The sequence below is a fragment of the Homo sapiens genome, chromosome 15 (assembly GCF_000001405.40).
Source record: "Homo sapiens chromosome 15, GRCh38.p14 Primary Assembly".
Classification (NCBI taxonomy): Eukaryota; Metazoa; Chordata; class Mammalia; order Primates; family Hominidae; genus Homo; species Homo sapiens.
Window position 1 is genome coordinate 20,261,348 of NC_000015.10, and position 20,374 is coordinate 20,281,721.

Here is a 20,374-nt window from a genome sequence, read left to right on the forward strand (position 1 = left end):
CTAACCTGGGCAACACAGTGAGATCCCATTTCAAAAGAAACCTGATCTATTTCTGTTTGGTGCTTTTGTCTCACTGGACAAGACCTGATTTTCTCTCTCTCTCTCTCTCTCTCTCTCACTCACTCACACATACACATGCATGCCCCAGTCCAATCTGAGACAAGAATCTTGCTTCTGACTAATTCCATTTCAGAGCCCTGTGCTTCCCCAGTGATACAACAAGCAAGAAAAATGTCTCCTCTCCTTGGCTCACCTGTTCTGAGAAGCAAGAGGCCACAGTCTGTTGGGGCCATCTCCCTCGGATCACCTTCATAAATAAATACCAATGTATTGATATCTTTCTAGACTTCCCTGGATAAATGCAAGATAGGAAAGGGGGCTGAGGTGCACAGGGGTGCACCCCGGATAAATGCAAGATAGGAAAAGGGGCTGAGGTGCCCGCAGAGGGGCGTCTGTGATGCTGAGGCTCCGAAACTGTGGCTGCCATAACACGTGAAGCACCAGCGCAGACCTCAAGCACCTACCAGGTGAACAGGAGTCCCATCTGCCGCGTGGGTGGGAAGAATCAATTCTCAACAAAGCCCAGCTGGATGAAGTATGTCATCAGCAGTTCCACCCTGGCCTCATCCCGGCTGGGCGTCCGACAAGCCTGCGAGGAAAAGAACCCCAGAGGGCATGAGCAGAGGAGGACACAGCTGACAGCCCTTCCCGGAAGGTGCCCTGCACATACCAGCAGGTGCCTGTAACTATTTCTGCAGTATGACGACCTCACTGCTGGCATCATAAACTCTAGGAGGGGTGGAAAGAACCTGGCAGGAAGTCAGAAATCCTGGAATCCAGTCCCAGCCCTGCCAGGAGGCAGGTCTCTCCCCTTCTATGGTTTTCCTTTTTTTTTTTGGGGACGGAGTCTTGCTCTGTCACCCAAGCTGGAGTGCAGTGGTGCGATCTTGGCTCACTGTAACTTCCACCTACCAGGTTCAAGTGATTCTCCTGCCTCAGCCTCCCGAGTAGCTGGGATTACAGGCGTGTAGCACCATGCCCGGCTTGTTTTTGTATTTTTAGTAGAAACGGGGTTTTGCGATGTTAGCCAGTCTGGTCTCAAACTTCTGACCTCAGGTGATCCACCCGCTTCAGCCTCCCAAAGTGCTGGAATTACCAGCATGCACCACCACGCCCAGCTAATTTTTGAATTTTTAGTAGAGACGGGGTTTCACCATGTTGGCCAGGATGGTCTGGAACTCCTGATCTCAGGTGATTCTCCTGCCTCCGCCTCCCAAAGTGCTGGGATTACATAGGCGTGAACCACCGTGCCCGGCCTCCTTCTACAGTTTTCTTATGCAGCAAATGGAATGGATGATTCCAGCACCCCCCAACCATCACCTCAATCTACCCACGATTCTGTTAAGACCACAAGCATGCAATAATGGGGTTCCCCGAAGACTTGGAAAAACTACCCTCCCCTCTCTGCTGCACACAAAAACTTACTTGTCTCGGATCCATAAGATCTGTGATTTCATCTTCATATAAATAGCCATCTTCACTGTAATGTTCCAGGATAAAATCCTTAAAGAAAAATAAGGTTAGATACTATAAAATGTGATTGAAAACCATGTATGTGCATAACAGTAATATGTCATTTGTGACCTGTTTCTAAAAAGGCAGAATAAAGAAAAACTTACAGTGATTTTCAAAGTGGGGGAATTTATTTTCTTAATTTATGTAGTTTTTTTTATATGGAGTCTTGCTCTGTAGCCCAGGCTGGAGTGCAGTGGCACAATCTCGGCTCACTGCAACCTCTGCCTCCCAGGTTCATGCAATTCTCCTTCCTCAGCCTCTCAAGGAGCTGGGGTTACAGGTGCCCACCACAACGTCTGGCTAATTGTTGTACTTCTGACCTCAGGTGATCCACCCACCTCACCCTCCCAAAGTGCTGGGATTACAGATGTCAGCCACAGTGTCCGGCCATAGAATTTTTTTTTTTTTTTTTTAAAACAGGGTTTCACTCCCATTGTCCAGGCTAGAATGTTGCGATCTCGGGTCACTGCAACCTCCACCTCCCAGGCTCAAGTGATTCTCATGCCTCAGCCTCCCAAGTAGCTGGGATTACAGGCATGTGCCACCATGCCCAGCTAATTTTTGTATTTTTAGTAGAGATGGAGTTTCACCGCATTGCCCAGGCTGGTCTCAAACTCCTGGGCTCAAGCAATCCATCTGCCTCAGCCTCCCAAAGTGCTGGGATTACAGGTGTGAGCCACTGCACCCCATGCCTATGTTTTTAAATGCTGTGTTGCTTCAGTAAAAGTGAGAGTTGAAGTTAATTTTTTGCTTAAAAATGTCTTTGTGTCTGCGCATCATGGCTCACATCTGTAATCCCAGCACTTTGTGAAGACAGGGCAGGTAAATCACTTGAGCCCAGGAGTTTGAGACTAGTCTATGGCCTATACATTCAACTATACTGCAAACACTGCAGATATTCAGGGGCTCAGACTTGCAATTCTGGGCCTCCCTCAGGACCCAGACAAGTTTCCCAGCACAGACCCTGAGGGTAGGACTGTCATAACAGTCCCCAGATACAGGTTTCCTTTGCCAAGAAGACCCTTAACCATGTTATAAAGGCATTTTATTTTATTTTATCTTTGAGGCAGGGTCTCACTTGGTTGCCTAGGCTGGAGTGCAGTGGTGCGATCGCGGCTCACCGCAGCCTCGACTTCTCTGGGCTCAAGTAATCCTCCTACTTCAGCCTCCCAAGTAGCTGGGACCACAGGCACGTGCCACAGGCTAATTTCATTTCTGTATTTTTTAATAGAGATGGGGTTTTGCCCTGTTGCCCCACCCCCGCCCCTACAAGTGCTGGCTCCCCCAAGCTGCAAGAAAGGTGATCACATAGATGGCTCAATTATGTCTTCCCAAGTGACTGTGTAACCTCTTTACACAACTTCTACATTAAAGCTCCTCCTGTTTTTGTGTGTTCAACGTACACACACACAAACACTTGTCTTACAAAAATGGATTTGTACTAAATATACAACTTTGCTGTGCCTTCTTTTTCTAAGAGATGAGGGTCTCGCTCTGTCATCCAGGATGGAGTGCAATGGTGCAATCATAGCTCACTGCAGCCTTGAACTCCCGGGCTCAAGTCATCCTCCCACTTCAGCTTCTCCAGTAGAGGGGACTATAGGTGTGCACCATCACACTCAGCTAATATTGTTATTTTTCATAAAGACAGAGTCTTCCTATGTTGCCTAGGCTGGTCTCGGACTCCTGGCCTCAGGTGATCCTCCCACCTCAGCTTCCCAGAGTGTTGGAATTACAGGTATGAGCAACTGCGCTCAGCTGACTATGCCTCTTTTCTTTAAACTTGGCCATGGGCTGGGTATGGTGGCTCACACCTGTAATCCCAGCGCTTTGGGAGGCTGAGGTAGGTAGATCACTTGAGGTCAGGTGTTCCAGACCAGCCTGGCCAACATGGTGAAACCCTGTCTCCATTAAAAATTTAAAAAATAAAAAATAAAATAGCTGGGCATGGTGGTTAAAAGGGGTCAGGTGTAGTGACTCATGCCTGTGATCCCAGCACTTTGGGAGGCCAAGGTGGGAGAATCACTTGAGACCAGGAGTTTGAGACCAGCATGGACAACATAGTGAAACCCCATCTCTACAAATAATAAAAAATTAGCCAGGCGTGCTGAGGCAGGAGGAGGATCACTTGAGCCCGGGAAGTTGAGGCTGCAGTGAGCCATGATCACGTCACTGCACTCCAATCTTATGTTCACCTCATAAAAGTCAAAGAGGATTTTGATTAAATTATATATGTGATCCTGAATTTGAAACTTAGTAAACTAGGGTAGATTAACGTACTTAGTGGGATAAAAAAAATTATCTAACTGGCCAGGCACAGTGGCTCACCCCTGTAATCTCAGCACTTTGGGAGGCCGAGGCAGGTGGATCATTTGAGGCCAGGAGTTCGAGACCAGCCTGGCCAACGTGGTGAAACCCCATCTCTACTAAAAATACAAAAATTAGCCAGGCATGATGGCAGGTGCCTGTAATCCCAGCTACTCAGGAGGCTGAGGCAGGAGAATAGCTTGAGCCCAGGAGGCGGAGGTTGCAGTGAGCTGAGACTGAGCCATTGCACTCCAGCCTGGGCGACAGAGCGAGACTCCGTCTCAAAAAAAAAAAAAAAAAAAAAAAAAAAAAAAAAATCCTAACTGAAACCCACTGTAAACATTAGGGACAAAACAAGAATTTCTACCATCACTGTTATTACTTAGCCTAATTCCAAACATTCTCTAGCCCACACATTAAGAAAAATAAGAGACATAAAATACTGGAAAGAAACAATCAAAATAATTTTTTGCAACACAACAGCATGTTTATAAAACCCAATAGCATCAACTGAAACATTACTAAATTAATAAGAATTCAATAAAGTGGCAAAGAAGTTAGCACATGAAAGTCAATAGTAAAAAAGAAAAGTCAATATTCTTCCTTTCTTATACAAGCAATAACCAATTAGACAAACTTAACAGACAGCCAGGTGTGGTGGCTCATCACATCTGTAATCCCAGCAGTTTTCAAGGCTGAGGTAGGCAGATCATTTGAGGTCAGGAGTTTGCGACCAGCCTGACCAGCAAGGTGAAACCCTGTCTCTACTAAAAATACAAAAAATTAGGTGGGTATGGTGGCAGGTGCCTCTAATCCCAGCTACCCAGGAGGCTGAGGCAGGAGAATCACTTGGACCTGGGGGGCAGAGGTTGCAGTGAGCCAAGACTGCACCACTGTACTCCAGCCTGGGCGACACAGTGAGACTCTGTCTCAAAAACAAACAAACAAACAAAAAAAACCTAACAGAGAAACAATACCTTTCAAAATAGCAACAAAAATACATTTCTAGGGATAAAATTAATATAATTAAGCAGAAAACTATTAAACTTTACTGAAGAACAGATGTGATTTCATTTTCTTTCATTGATTCGATTTTTTTTTTTTTTTTTAATGAGACAAGGTATCATTCTGTTTTCCAGGATGGACTGCAGGGGCTCAATCACAGCTGACTGCAGCCTCGACCTCTTGGGCTCAAGCAAGCCACCTCAGCCTCCTAAGTAGCTGGGACTAAAGGTGTGAGCCACTGTGCCTGGCCCTATTTCCTCAAAATAAAACAAAATCAGCCAGCTGCAGTGGCTCACGCCTGTAATCCCAACACTTTGGGAAGCTGAGGCGGGTGGATCACTTGAGGTCAGGAGTTCGAGAACAGCCTGGTCAACATGGTGAAACCCTGTCTCTACTAAAAATATAAAAATTAGCTGGGTGTGGTGGCGGATGCCTGTAATCCCTGGTACTCAGGAGGCTGAAGCAAGAGAATCGCTTGAACCTGGGAGAGGGAGGTTGCAGTGAGCCAAGACTGTGCCACTGCACTCCGGCCTGGGCTTCAGAGCGAGACTCCCTCTCTAAATAAATAAATACATAAAATAAAATAAAACAAAATCACACTGTGAAGCTTCACTGATTATTAAAAATATCACACGGACACACAAGTCAGATTTGAAATGGAATTGCCCTAATTCAGTCTGCTGAACCACTTCTGCAGTACCTGTGTTTCTCTCAAATATGGAAGGGAAAAAATACAACAGAAAGCCCCTCAAACGTTCTCATTTTCATATGACTGACATTTGTAGCGTCTCTTTTAGGCTAAAATGACATGGTTGGAAGCCTGTGCCGAATGGCAGTTGGCCATGTCCACAACATGTGAATATTTTCATTTGCTTTAATGTGGAATTCAGAACATGACCCAGTTGAATCCTTAAAAATGCCTATAAAATTCCTAAGTTTCTCCAAGAGACTCTTCCTTTAAAATGCTTGCATTCTTGGCCGGACGCAGTGGCTCACACCTGTAATCCCAGCACTTTGGGAGGTTGAGGCAGGCGGATCATCTGAGGTCAGGACTTCAAGACCAGCCTGGCCAACATGGTGAAACCCTGTCTCTGCTAATAAAAATTAGCTGGGTGTGGTGACACATGCCTGTAATCCCAGCTACTTGTGAAACTGAAGCAGGAGAATCACTTGAACCCAGGAGGCAGAGGTTGCAGTGAGCTGAGATCATGCCATTGGACTCCAGCCTGGGCAACAAGAGTGAAACTCCATCTCAAAAAAAAAAAATGCTTACATTCTTGTAGCCCAGCACCATGCAACAGACAAATTAAATCGTAAAGAAACTTCTACAATAGCAACAGACATTTCCAGACACGTGGATTGTTTTGAGTCCCACAGACCAGTGGCAAGTCACATCTATTTTTGCATTTATATATACACACATATATTTTAAATAAAAATAGAGATGGGGCTGGGTGTGGTGGCTCACATCTATGATCTCAGCACTTTTGCTGGAGGTGGAAGCAGGAAGATCGCTTATGGCCAGGAGTTCAAGACCAGCCTGGGCATCATAGTGAGGAGAACCCATCTCTTAAAAAAGAAAAAAAAAAGAGAGAGAGAGAAAGAGATGACTGCGTGGTGGTTGACACCTGTAATCCCAGTACTTTGGAAGGCCAAGGTGGGCAGATCACCTGAGGTCAGGAGTTCAAGACCAGCCTGGCCAGGATGGTGAAAATCTGTCTCTACTAAAAATACAAAAATTAGCCTGGCGCAGTGGCTCACACCTCTAATCCCAGCACTCTGAGAGGCCGAGGCAGGTGGATCATGATGTCAGGAGTTCAAGACCAGCCTGGCCAGGATGGTGAAACCCTGTCTCTACTAAAAATACCAAAATTAGCCAGCATGGTGGTGGGTGCCTGAAACCCCAGCTACTCAGGAGGCTGAGGCAGAGAATTGCTTGAACCTGGGAGGTGGAGTTTGCAGTGAGCCGAGATCACGCCACTGTACTCCAGCCTGGGCGACAGAGCGAGGCTTCATCTCAAAAAATATACATATATACACACAAAAATTAGTTGGCCATGGTGGTGCATGCCTGTAGTCCCAGCTGCTCAGGAGGCTGAGGAAGGAGAATCACTTGAACCCAGAAGGTGGAGGTTACAGTGAGCTGAGATCGCACCATTGCACTCCAGCCTGGGCAACACAGTGAGACTGTGTCTCAAAAAAAAAAAAAAAAAAGAGAGAGAGAGAGAGGGAAGGCCTCATTCTGTTGCCCAGGCTGGTCTCCAACTCCTGGCCTCAAGCTGTCCTCTTGCCTCAGCCTCCCAAAGTGCTAAGATTATAGGCGTGAGCCATTGCATCTGGGCATAAGTCTCACGTAAAAGTTCAGGCAGGCTGTGGCAGTGTGGCATAAAGCTGCAATTCCTGGATTGTTTTCATTGCTTTCTACCCAGAACATAAACTTTCCGGTAAACTTGAGTCCTGAAACACTCAGAATACCAACTTCCCTTCTCCAGTTCCAAAATAAACCCCAAACTCACAGGATTTAAACAAGGCAGCAGTAAAAAAGGCCTCTATTTATGTCAAACAACTCACCGTCTCTGAGAATGAAGGTCAAGTGCTTCCAAAGTATTAACCAATTGCTTTTAAAAGTAGTAGTTGGCTGGGAGCGGTGGCTCACACCTGTAATCCCAGCACTTTGGGAGGCCAAGGCGGGTGGATCGAGTTCGAGACCAGCCTGGCCAACATAGTGAAACCCCATCTCTACTAAAAACACAAATTAGCCAGGCATGATGGCAGGTGCCTGTAATCCCACCTACTCAGGAGGCTGAGGCAGGAGAATCACTTGAACCTGGGAGGTGGAGGTTGCAGTGAGCTGAGATGGCCATCACTGCCCTCCAGCCTGGGCAACAAGAGCGAAACTCCAGCTCAAAAAAAAAAAAAAAGAAAGAAAGAAAGAAAAAAAAAAGTAACAGTCAAAATGTCATAAGATGTTTTCTTTTCTAAACTAAAAGTAGTCCAAGATGAGCCAACTAAGAGGATTATCATGGAAAGTAAAATAAGCCAGGCACAGTGGCTCATGCCTATAATCCCAGCATTTTGGAAGGCTGAGGCAGGAGGACTGCTTGAACCCAGGAGTTTGAGACCAGCCTGGGCAACAGTGGGAAACTCTGTCTCTATGAAAAATACAAAAATTGGCCGGGCATGGTGGCTCACGCCTATAATCCCAGCACTTTGGAAGGCCAAGGCAGGTGGATCACCTGTGGTCAGGAGTTCGAGACCCACCTGACCAACATGGAGAAACCCCGTCTCTATTAAAAATACATAATTAGCCAGGCATGGTGGCACATGCCTGTAATCCCAGCTACTCGGAAGGCTGAGGCAGGAGAATCGCTTGAACCCGGGAGGTGGAGGTTGCGGTGAGCCGAGATCATGCCATTGCACTCCAGCCTGGGCAACAAGAGCTAAACTCCATCTCAATAAAAAAGAAAGAAAAATGCAACAATTAGCCAGGCACGGTGGCACACGCCTGTAGTACCAGCTACTCAGGAGGCTGAAGTGGGAGCATCAACTGAGCCCAGGAGGCAGGGGTTGCAGTGAGCCAAGATCATGCCACTGCATGCCAGCCTGGGTGAAACAGTGAGACTCGGTCTCAAAATAATAAAGAAAAAGGAAAAAAAAGAACACAAAATATTTCTTCGAAGCAATTTTCGCAATGCTAGGATTAATTCCTATAACCAATGCCTGGGCTGCATGATGCAATCTTGGGCCACCCTGCACCTCATCCCCTTTCCCCTCCTTGATGGAATTTGGAGGTGACTGGTTAAAAACTCAAATTGATGGAGTTGAAGAGGGAAGGAAGAGGAGGGTATTCCAGGCACAGGACGGTCTCCCGGCCCCAGCCTCCGGGCACGGTATCTCCTGTGTTCTCCATTGAAGCACCCCTTCCACTTCCCACTTGAATCCCCCACTGACCCAAGGGCCCCGCAGGCAGTGCTTGTGGCACCTCTGGCACCCAGCACAGTGCCAGGCACAGGTGGGCTTATGAGGATCTGCCAAATGGGAGAGGAGTCCAGATACCCAGGAATGTGGCAGGGGGACACACAAGCAAAGACTCTGGTTATTCAAATATTTAAGGGGAGTGAATTGACATCTTTGATTTCCTTTGAAATTGCATCACAAATAAGACAGATTGATATTAGCCATTACTTTCGTTCTCTTTTTTTTTTTTTTTTTTTTGAGACAGTTTCACTGTTGCCCAGGCTGGAGTGCAGTGGCACAATCTCAGCTCACTGCATCCTCTGCCTCCTGGGTTCAAGCGCCTCTCTCGTGCCTCAGCCTCTCGAGTAACTGGGATTACAGTCATATGCCACTATGCCCAGCTAATTTTTTTTTTTTTAGATGGGATCTCACTCTGTCGCCCAGGCTGGAGGGCAGTGGCGTGATCTCGGCTCCCTGCAACCTCCACCTCTACCTCCCGGGTTTGAACGATTCACCTGCCTCAGCCTCTGAAGTAACTGGGATTACAGGTGTGCACCACCACGTCCAGCTAATTTCTGTACGTTTGGTAGAGACAGGGGTTTTACCATTTTAGCCAGGCTGGTCTTCAACTCCTGAGCTCAAGTGAGCCGCCTGCTTCAGCCTCCCAAAGTGCTGGGATTACAGGCGTGAGCCACTGTGCCCAGCCTTTAGCCATTACTTTCAATGGCAAAAACTGCAATTACCTTCAAACCAACCTAACAGACACAAGAATGCACAGATGGACAAATATGTCAGGAAGCAATGCTGGCAGTATGTTCTCGGAAGAAGTGAGTACACAGGGGTTTGCTATAAAATTCTTAAAATTTTTTGAAAAGTTTGGAAATTTTCATAATCAAATGTTAGAGAAAAAACTTTAGCTATTCTTCCAAAGACATAACCTAAACTGGATACATGACTTAAGAAACAAATACACTATTAATAAAAGAGGATGTAAGTTTTAAATTTGAAAGCATATCCACTACAGACCCTTTGACTTGGCCTCTCAGGGAAGGCCCTCCTGGGTTTCCAACCTGCCTTGTCCAAGACCCAGGAGGAGCTTCAGAAGCCATCAAAGGCAACAACAAAAATATGGCAGGAATAAACATATCAATTATGCATGTAGCTGGCTGAGAAGGGCCTCAGGGTCACTCTGTAGATATCAACTGACTCTGCCTGTTGAGCCTAAGGCCATTGCAAGGGATACATATTTTCTCTATATCCATTTTTTTGCTTTTTTTTTTGGAGACAGGGTCTCATTCTGTTGCCCAGGCTGGAGTGCAGTTGTATGATCACAACTCACTGCAGCCTCCAATTCCTGGGCTCAAGCGATCCTCTTGCCTCAGCCTCCCAAGTAACTGGGACTACAGGCATGCGCCACTGCAAATGGCCTATTTCCATTTTAAACACTGAGTCCAGTGCCCATGGCTTTGAGATTTACCTTGAGGATGACTGAAAAGTCGATGTCTTTCGTTTCCTTCAGGCCAAGAGGAATCAGGGGAACCGTAAATGCCTCCCTATGAGGAACACAACAAGGTATGTATGAACACCCCCAACCGGACCCTTGTGCATGCCACAGCCTTGCCCTCAGCAGCCCAGCTCAGGTGTGTGCCCCCTCCTTGCCCCATCCAGTACTCACCTGGCTGACAGGCTCATTTTCCATAAGGATGACTCTAGTCATGCCCCACCCTCTGCTCTAAAACTGACCCTGCTCCCTAAGACTGCTGGACCACCCTGCCTAACACATCAGGCCCCTGGCATCTTGACACTGATTTATCTCCCGGTTTCAATGCCTAAATGGTTCCTTTCTTATTTTATTTTTTTTTGAGAGACTCTTGTTCTGTCGCCCAGGCTGGAGTGCAATGGCGCAATCTCAGCTCACTGTAGCCTCCGCCTCTCAGGTTCAAGCAATTCTCCTGCCTCAGCCCCCTGAGTAACTGGGATTACAGGCACAGGACACCACACCCAGCTAATTTTTGTATATTTTTTTAGTAGCAATGGGGTTTCACCATGTTGACCACGTTGGCCAGGCTGGTCTTCTGACCTCAAGTGATTCGTCCACCTTGGCTTCCCAATGTGCTGGGATGATGGATACAAGCCTCTGTGCCCAGCTCAATCTCAATGCTTCTTTTGGCAGCTGTGCTGAGAGTCTATTGTGTGCCAGGGCCTGTGCATGGTGCACTTGCTGCTCCCACCTGGGTGCACCACCCTGCTGCCCTGCGCCTCCTTTGTCAGCTCCTCACCCCCTCCTCCTCTGCTCCCCTCAGCGGGCCCCACAGCTGTGGCAGCTCTCCAACACCCTCACATTCACAACTCTGGGTTCGTAGGGGCCTCTTCTTTGGGAAGTGTCTAGGCGTCCCACCACCAGCACAGAAGATGCCATCAGGGCAGGAGCCCCATCCGACACCGAAGTGCACCTGCCTCCCAGCCCAGGGTCAGACACCCTCCACCTCCTCTCCCCCAGCTGACCACTCTGTAACCACAGGTCGCCTGGGGAGTGCTCCCTGAGCCTACATTCCTAGGGGCAGGGACAGCAGGAAGTGAACGGAGCTCAGGCTGTGTTTTGCAAACAGGGATTCAGCTCCCTGACCTGTAACAGGAGACCTCCTTGGGCTGCTCAGCCCAGCCCCACAAGAAGGCCAGGAAGGCTGGGCAGGGCGAGGGGACAATGCAGCTGTAAGCTGAACCTGGCTCTGCAGCACAGCCATGCTACGGCCAGGTGAGACCCATCCTGGGGGCATGGAAAGCCGAATTCTGCTGAAGGCTCCTCCAGGCTACGCAGGGTGGGAAGCCAGGTTTGTGGCTGTCCAGGCAACAACAAGAGGAGGAGCGACTGTCCTGAGTCCCAACTCCAGGGCACCCCAGCCCCAGTGTGGCACTGACAGCACCCTCTAGGTGCCCTCCGGCTTCCCTGAGTTTTCCCATGAGGGAGGGAAATAACCTCATGCACCATGAGGGAGGGAAATAACCTCATGCACCATGAGGTTATTTCTTTCCCGCCTACCTCCTAGAAGACTGTAAAGATCAACCATGCTAAGAAAGAAACAGTCTACCTTGAAAAAAGAATAGTGCAGGCCAGGCGCAGTGGCTCACGCCTATAATCCCATCACTTTAGGTGGCTGAAACAGGCAGATCACGTGAGGTCAGGAGTTCAAGACCAACCTGGCCAACATGGTAAAACCCCGTCTCTACTAAAAATACAAAAACTACCTGGGCATGGTGGTGTGCGCCTGTAATCCCAGCTACTCAGGAGGCTGAGGCAAGAGAATCACTTCAACCAGGAGGTGGAGGTAGCAGTGAGCCAAGATTACACCACTGCACTCCATGCCTGGGTGACAGAGCAAGACTCCGTCTCAGAAAAAAAAAAAAAAAAAAAAAAAAAAAAAAAAAGATCAACCATACTAAGAAAGAAACAATCTACTTTGAAAACAGGGCCGGGCATGGTGGCTCACGCCCATAATCCCAGCACTTTGGGAGGCCGAGGCAGGCGGATCACGAGGTCAGGAGATTGAGACCATCCTGGCTAATGGTGAAACCCCGTCTCTACTAAAAATACAAAAAATTAGCCGGGCAAGGTGGCGGGCGCCTTTAGTCCCAGCTACTCGGGAGGCTGAGGCAGGAGGATGGTGTGAACCCGGTAGGCGGAGCTTGCAGTGAGCTGAGATCACGCCACTGCACTCCTGCCTGGGTGACAGAGCAAGACTCCGTCTCAAAAAAAAAGAAAAAGAAAAAAAAAGAAAACAGAAAAGCGCAGGACCCAAATGCATGGTGCCGTGTTGAATCTGCACAGCTCTCCCTCTTCCCAGTGACACAGGGCAGTGACTGGCCACTCTAGAGCCCAGGGACCACTCCAGAGATCTTCGGTTCACTCTGTGGGAAGCCCTGTGTTGCACATCCCCACTCTTCGGCACAGCAAATGAGAGTGTGGGACAGCCGACATTTATTACCAAACCTTGGCCCCATCTCGCCTCCTCCAGAACTTGAACCTTTTGGACAAACACTGTAATTGAACACCAGAGCATAGGCTGGGAGAACCTTCCATTAGCTGTCACACTGACTGGGTGTTCAAAACTGCACAGTAGGCCAGGTGTGGTGGCTCACGCCTGTAAACCTAGCACTTTGGGAGGCTGAGGCCGGCAGATCACAAGGTCAGGAGCTCGAGACCAGCCTGGCCAACATGGTGAAACCCCATCTCTACTAAAAATACAAAAAATTAGCTGGGCATGGTGGCATGCGCCTGTAGTCCCAGCTACTCAGGAGGCTGAGGCAGGAGGATTGCTTGAACCTGGGAGGCGGAGGTTGTGGTGAGCCGAGATCATGCCACTGTACTCCAGCCTGGGTAACAGAGAGAGACTCCATCTCAAAAAACAAACAAACAAACAAACAATAAAAACCGTACAGGAGCCCACAGGTAAGCCAGGCACGGGGTATCACAAAGGGAAGAGCCAGCGAGCTTTCACACACTGACACTTCCCCTCCAGCTCTGAAACCACCCTGGTGCCCTGTGGAGGACCAGCACCAGGAAACACACATTCCATAGGTGACTTAAGGTTCCCAAATCCAGGGAGCTATTTTCCGACTGAGTTTACCCTGGGGCCCACCTACTTTTTGAGAAGTCTCATGCCCCTACTAAAAAAGCACGTAAACCCTTCTTTGAACTGTCTCAAAGTTATTTCTCCTTAAAAAGAAGCATTTCACTTAGGGTTTTGTTTTGTTTTTGTGTTTTTTGAGACAGGACTTCTTTCTGTTGCCATTACTGCAGTCTCGACCTCCCTGGCTCAAGTGATCTTCCCACCTCAGCCTTCTGAGTAGCTGGGACTACAGGTGTACACCACCATGCCCGGCTAATTTTCCTATTTTTTGTAGAGATGGGGTTTCACTATGTTGCCCAGGCTGGCCTTGAACTCCTGGGCTCAAGCAATCCCCCATCTCAGCCTCCTGAAGAGCTGGATTACAGACATGAGGCAAGAGGGGCATTTCTTTCATAGTTAGATCTCCATTTTTGGAGATGCATTGCAATTCTGAGGGATGGTGTTGTTGGCTTTCATCTTGCAGAAATCAATTCCAAAATTGAGTTATGGAGAATGATACGATAGAGTGCCTTCAAAACTGACCTAGGAGCCAGGCACAGTGGCTCACATCTGTAATCCCAGCACTTTGGGAGGCCAAGGCGGGCAGATTACTTGAGACCAGGAGTTCAAGACCAGCCTGGCCAACATGATGAAACCCTGTCTCTACTAAAAAAAAAAAAAAAAAAAAAAAAATTAGCCAGGTGTGATGGTGCACGCCTGTAATCCCAGCTACTCAGGTGGCTGAGGCACAAGAATCGCTTGAACCCAGAAGGTGGAGATTGCAGTGAGCTGAGATCTCGCCACTGCACTCCCACCTGGGTGAGAGAGGGAGACTCTGTGTCAAAAAAAAAAACAGGAAATACAACCTTAAAAGGAGACTGGTGTGTTACTTTGTTTTAATTTGGATTTTTCTGTTTCAGTTTGTCACCTCCAGCTAGGAAACAGACTGCAGTCCAGCATCTAAGTACAGTGCACAGAATCTCTGTGTGTGCATAGTGGCCTCCCCTTACAGGGTCAATTTTGGCCTTTGGCCTTAATCCCGAAGTATTTGTGTATGCTTTCTGTTCCTTGGCAAATAAATGAGAAAATAATTAGCCAACATTGGAAAGGTATTGTCCTAACAATGTCCCTTTAATGTTTCTTAGGAAAATTATGATGACCCACTAAAATATCCTTGCTCAATGTCTGTTCAGTTGAATTTAATAACATATCTTGCTAATGTTTGCATGTCTATGAAATGTGACTACGCGGAATTACTGAAACTTAACTATAAAATCCAAGGCATCTAACTTTTAAACTTATCTTGGTTCATCACGTATATTTACACTAGATTTTATACTGTCTTCATTTGTTTTTTTTTGTCTGTTTGTTTTGAGACAGAGTCTTGCTCTGTCAGCCGGGCTGGAGTACAGTAGTGTGATCTCGGCTCACTGAAACGTCCAACTCCCGGGTTCAAGCAATTCTGCCTCAGCCTCTGAGAAGCCAGGATTACAAGTGTGCACCACCACATCTGGCTATTTTTATTTTTAGTAGAGACGGGGTTTCATCATGTTGGCCAGACTGGTCTCGAACTCCTGACCTCAGGTGATCCACCCGCCTCAGCCTCCCAAAGTGTTGGGATTACAGGAGTGAGCCACTGTGCCTGGCCTCACAAATGCCTTTTTGTCACTGCAGATATTTCCCAACACTACAGATATTTCCCAACACTGCAGATATTTCCCAAGAAATGGGCTCATCCCTTCCAGTCTAGCACCTCACTCAACCCCAAACCTGATGGTTCTCTCACTTCCCAAAGCTGGGGCTGCCACACCCCAGTCTAGAACCCTATCTGCCCTGTTTGTGCAGATAGGGTTCGTACCCAGGTACCTCTTCATACCCTGGATATATGAAGGATCTCTGGCTCAGAGGCTTCTGGAAGGTGTGCTGCTCCCACTTACTCTGTGTTCTGATAGATGCCCACTGAGATGTTCAGCCCCTCCAGCTCTTCCTTGAGCATCTGCAGGTCTGAGTTGACCAAGCTCAGCTCCAGCCGCACTTGTTCCCGCACCTTTGGGTTCGCGGCCACTCTGTTCAAAGAGAAGAGGGAGAGAAGTGCCCTCAGCCAGGTATCCCGGCTTCTGGGTGAGCAGAACCAATCCCCAGTCCCTGCAGGGAGGATCAGGGCACGGCTTGCAGAGGAGGGCCAGGAGTGTTGGGTAAGGTATCCCAGGGACACGGAGCACCTGCCCAGCTTGCAGTACACCTGCCAGTACGTGGAGCTGCGGACACAGGCAATGACACTGTGAGCTGCAGACATGAACTCTATGACATCCTGCAAAAACTCCACCTTGAGAACAGAAAACAAAACTGCTCCCAGCCATGCCCTAAAATACCATAAGATATCCACTTGAAAAGAAATGAATGATTCTGGTTGGGCGTGGTGGCCCACGTCTGTAATCCCAGCACTTTGGGAGGCCGAGGCAGGTGGATCAGCTGAAGTCAGGAGTTCGAGACCAGCCTGGCCAACATATAGTGAAACTCTGTCTCTACTGAAAAATACAAAAACTAGCTGGGTGTGGTGGTGCACACCTGTAGTCCCAGCTATGCAGAAGGCTGAGGCTTGAACCTGGGAGATAGGGGTTGCAGTGAGCTGAGATTGTGCCACTGCACTCCAGCCTGGGCAACAGAGCAAGGCTCCCTCTCAAAAAAAAAAAAAAAAAAAAAAAGAAATGAATGATTCCTTTCGGTAGGAGAAATCCAAATAAATAAATAAATAAACATAAAATTTGTTTTAAAAAAAGAAAGAAATGGATGGTTAGCTGGGCATGGTGATGCATGGCTATAGTCCCAGGCAGGAGGATCGCTTGAGTCCAGGAGGTTGATACTGCAGTGAGCTATGATCACACCACCGCAATCCAGCCTGGGTGACAGGGCAAGACACTGTCTCTAAAAACTAAAATAAGATAAAATGAAATAAAATATAAATATATATATATATATATATATATATATGATAAAAAGTAAAATAAAATAAATGAATGAGAAAATGAAGGCAGAGGTAATGCTTCCTAATTCATTCTGTAAGACTAGTATTAGCAACCCAAGCCTAGCAACATATAAATAGGATTATACACCATAACAAAGTGGGATTTATCCCAGAAATGCAAGGTTGGTTTAACATCTGAAAATCAATATAATATAATATATTATATTAACAGAATAAAGGACAAAAAACACATGGTGACTTCAACAGATATTGAAAAAACTATGTGACAAAATCCATCACAGATTCATAATAAAAATTCTCAACAAAGTAGGAATAAAAGAGAATTTATGAAATCTGATAAAAGACACCTACAAAAACCCACAGTTAACATCACACTTAGTGGTGAATGACTGCTTTCCTCTTCTCACCACGAACAAGGCAAAGATGCCCACTTTTGCTATTTCTAATCAATGAGGCAAATAAAGAAATTAAAGGCATCCAGATTAGAAAGGAAGAAATAAAACTGTCTTTATTTACAGATGGCATTATCTTATATATAGAAAATCCTAAGGCATCCATAAAACAAATATTAGTACTAATAAATTTAGCAAGGTCACAGGGTATAATCAATATACAAAAATCAATTCTTTTTTTTTTTTTTCTCTAGACAGGGTATCACTCTGTCAGCCAGGCTGGAGTGTAATGTCACCATTATGGCTTACTACAGCCTCAACCTCCCAGGCTGAAGCCATCCTGCAGCCTCAGCCTCCCAAGGAGCTGGGACTACAGGTGCACACCACCACACTGGCTGATTTTTGTATTTTTTTGTAGAGATGGACTCTCACTATGTTGCCCAGGCTGGCCCAGAAATCCTGGGCTCAAGCAATCTTCCTGCCTCAGCCTCCCAAAGTGCTGAGATTACAGGCATGAGCCACTGTGCCTGGCCAATTCGATTTCTATATACTAGCAATGAACAATCTTGAAATTGAGAAAACCATTCCATTCACAATAGCATCAAAAAGAATAAAATACTCAGGAATAAACAAAAGAATCACAAGACATGTAAACTGAAAACTACAAAACAATGCTGAGATATATTAAAAGAAGAGCTATTCCATGTTTACGGATGGGAAGGCTCATTATTGTCAAGATGTCAAGCCTCCTTAGTTGGTACATTCATTCAATGCAACCTCAATCAAAATCCCACTAACCTTTTTAATAAAAATCAGCAAGCTGATCTTAAAATTCATATGGAAATGCAAAAAAAAAAAAAACCTACAGTAGGCAAAATAATTTTGAAAAATAAGAACAGAGTTGGAAGACATATTGATTTTAAAATTTACTAAGAAGCTGGGCTGGGCATGGTGGCTCACGTCTGTAATCCTAGCACTTTGGGAGGCTGAGGTGGGTAGATCACCTGAGGTCAGTAGTTTGAGACCAGCCTGGTCAACACAGTGAAACCCCATCTCTACTAAAAATACAAAAAATGAGCCAGGCATGGTGGTAGATGCCTATAATCCCAGCTACTCGCGAGCCTGATGCAGGAGAATCACTTGAACCCGGAAGGCAGAGGCTGCAATGAGCCAAGATTGTACCATTGCACACCAGCATGGGCAACAAGAGCAAAACTCCATCCCAAAAAAATAATAAAAAATAAACAATAAACTTACTAAGAAGCCATAGTCATCAAGATAGCATGGTACTGACATAAAGATAGGCAATGAAACAGAGTAAGAGTCCAGGAATAGGTTGGGTGTGGTAGCTCACACCTGTAATCCCAGCACTTTGGGAGGCCAAGACAGACGGGTCATGAAGTCAGGAGATCGAGACCATCCTGGCTGACACGGTGAAACCCCGTCTCTACTAAAAATACAAAAAAAAATTTGTATTTTTAGTAGAGCGTGGTGGCGGGCATGGTGGTGAGCACCTGTAGTCTCAGCTACTCAAGAGGCTGAGGCACAAGAATGGCGTGAACCTAGGAGGCGGAGCTTGCAGTGAGCTGAGATCGCACCACTGCACTCCAGCCTGGGTGACAGAGCGAGACTCCGTCTCAGGAAAAAAAAAAAAAAAAAAGAGTCCAGGAATAAATGTTTACATTTATGTAGCAAATCTTTACAACTGATTTGAACAAAAGTGCCAAATCAATTCAATGTGGAAAAGATTATTGTTTCAACAAATAGCGCTAAAGCAGGCAGACATCCATAGGTATGTCAGGGTCCCTAAAACCACCCCCAAGTTCAGTGTTAATCTAGGAGGACTTGCAAAAGTCATGGCTGTGGTTTACTACAGCAAAAGACACAAAGCATAATGAGCAAAGGGAAAGGCATATGGGGTGAAATTGGGAGGAGGCCCGGCCCAGGCTTCTAGGGGTCCTCTCCCAGTGGAATCCCACAGACCATGCTTAACTCCCCCATCAAGGAGTTGTGACAACACACGTAAAATGCCAAGAAAGCCCCCAGAAAGTTCCAATCAGGACTCAGGTCCCACTGGGAGGTCCCTCCCTAGCTGACTTCTTGGGCTCCCTCCCAAAGTGGGCAGAAGGGTCTGGGTGAGGGACCCGAGCCTGGTTTTCACTTCCCTAAGCCCGAGGGTCCTCTTCCTGGCACAAGGCCTTGAGGAGGCTTGGGAAGCCAGCCTTCAGGTCCCGCTGTTTTGTTATTTTGCTAAAGCATGTCCCGTCTGTAAGTTTGCCCCCTCGGGTCACTTTCTTCACCTTATCAGCAGGGCCCATGATTCCTTCTGCTTTCCAACAAGACGCCAGAGCATATTTTTAGACCAATGAAGTCGGTGGGACAGTGGGTGGGACCCAGAGAGTGACGGACAGTGAGTCGGCCTGGAGGGTGGGAAGGCGAAGTGAGTTCCCCTCCTGGGACGGGGCTGGGAGGGGACATGGAATGGTCTGTCAGCTATGAGTTTGTGGAAGGCAGAGTCAGTGACTTTCAGCTGACCTGCCTCGGTCTGGAAGATTCCAGTAGAGAAAGGGAGGGCCAGGGGCCTGGAGGCTGGTTCCAGGTCTGGGTGCTGGGCCTGAGAGCATTTCCAAAGCACTGAGCCTGGGACTGAAGGTAATTCACCATGAGGGTTCAGCTGGGGAGGACTGTCTGTGTGCTTCCCCCACCTCCCAGTCCCTCAACTCACCCCCAGTCCCCCTACCTGCCTTAACTCAGGAAAAAGGCCTCCCTCGTGAGCACTGGCAGCTGCCTTTGGAGGCATGTCACGGTCACACCCCAGGACACAACGCAGAATCTCAGGCTGGCAGGGGACATTTGAGATCAGCCAGCCCAGCCTCTCATTTTACAGCTGGGAATGGGTGCACAACGGCCATGGCTGCCCAAGGTCACAGAGCCCGGGAGGGAGCAGCAGGCACAGTGGAAAAAGTAAGGTCACGTGAGCCAGGTCTGGGCACCGGGTCCAGGCCTGCCACTCCCCCGCATGTGGCTCAGGTCGATGGCTCAGACTCTCAGCCTCAGGTCCACAGCTGAAGCAGTAGAGGAACAGCTGTTCGAGGGGCTGCCTGGGGAGGAGCGGGGCTGGGTGCCCTGTGCGCACAGCAGACACTTCATCAGCCACTCAAGTAGGCAGCCGAGCCAGGAGGGCCCTCTGGGCACCTGGGCCTCTCCGTAGGAAAAGGAGCAGGGACCCACTATCCTTTGGGTCAACAACGGCCTTAAGCAATGGGCTCGAAAATCCCTGGTTAGTGACCACCTTCTGTTGCTAGGCAAGATGGGGACAAAGATGGGGTCCAGTTCTCCAGTTGTTAAACATCTGTCTCATCAAGAAGATGGGACAGCACATGGAAAATAAATTTCTATGGTTATAATAACTGTCCCAGATTCTCTGTGCAGTAATGGCAGACCCGCTTTCCCTCTGAAAACAAGCAAGAATTTTGGATAAGACAATAACAAAATTACGTTAAAAGCATCAAAGGGCTGCTAAGCTAGTGGGAAACCTCCAGGCC

The 20,374-nt window shown here is 47.4% G+C and overlaps 1 pseudogene; it reads right to left on the reverse strand.

The window, feature by feature from the left end:
• The window catches only part of RHPN2P1 (rhophilin Rho GTPase binding protein 2 pseudogene 1), a 48,446-nt pseudogene extending 32,929 nt beyond the window's left edge, over nt 1–15,517 (reverse strand).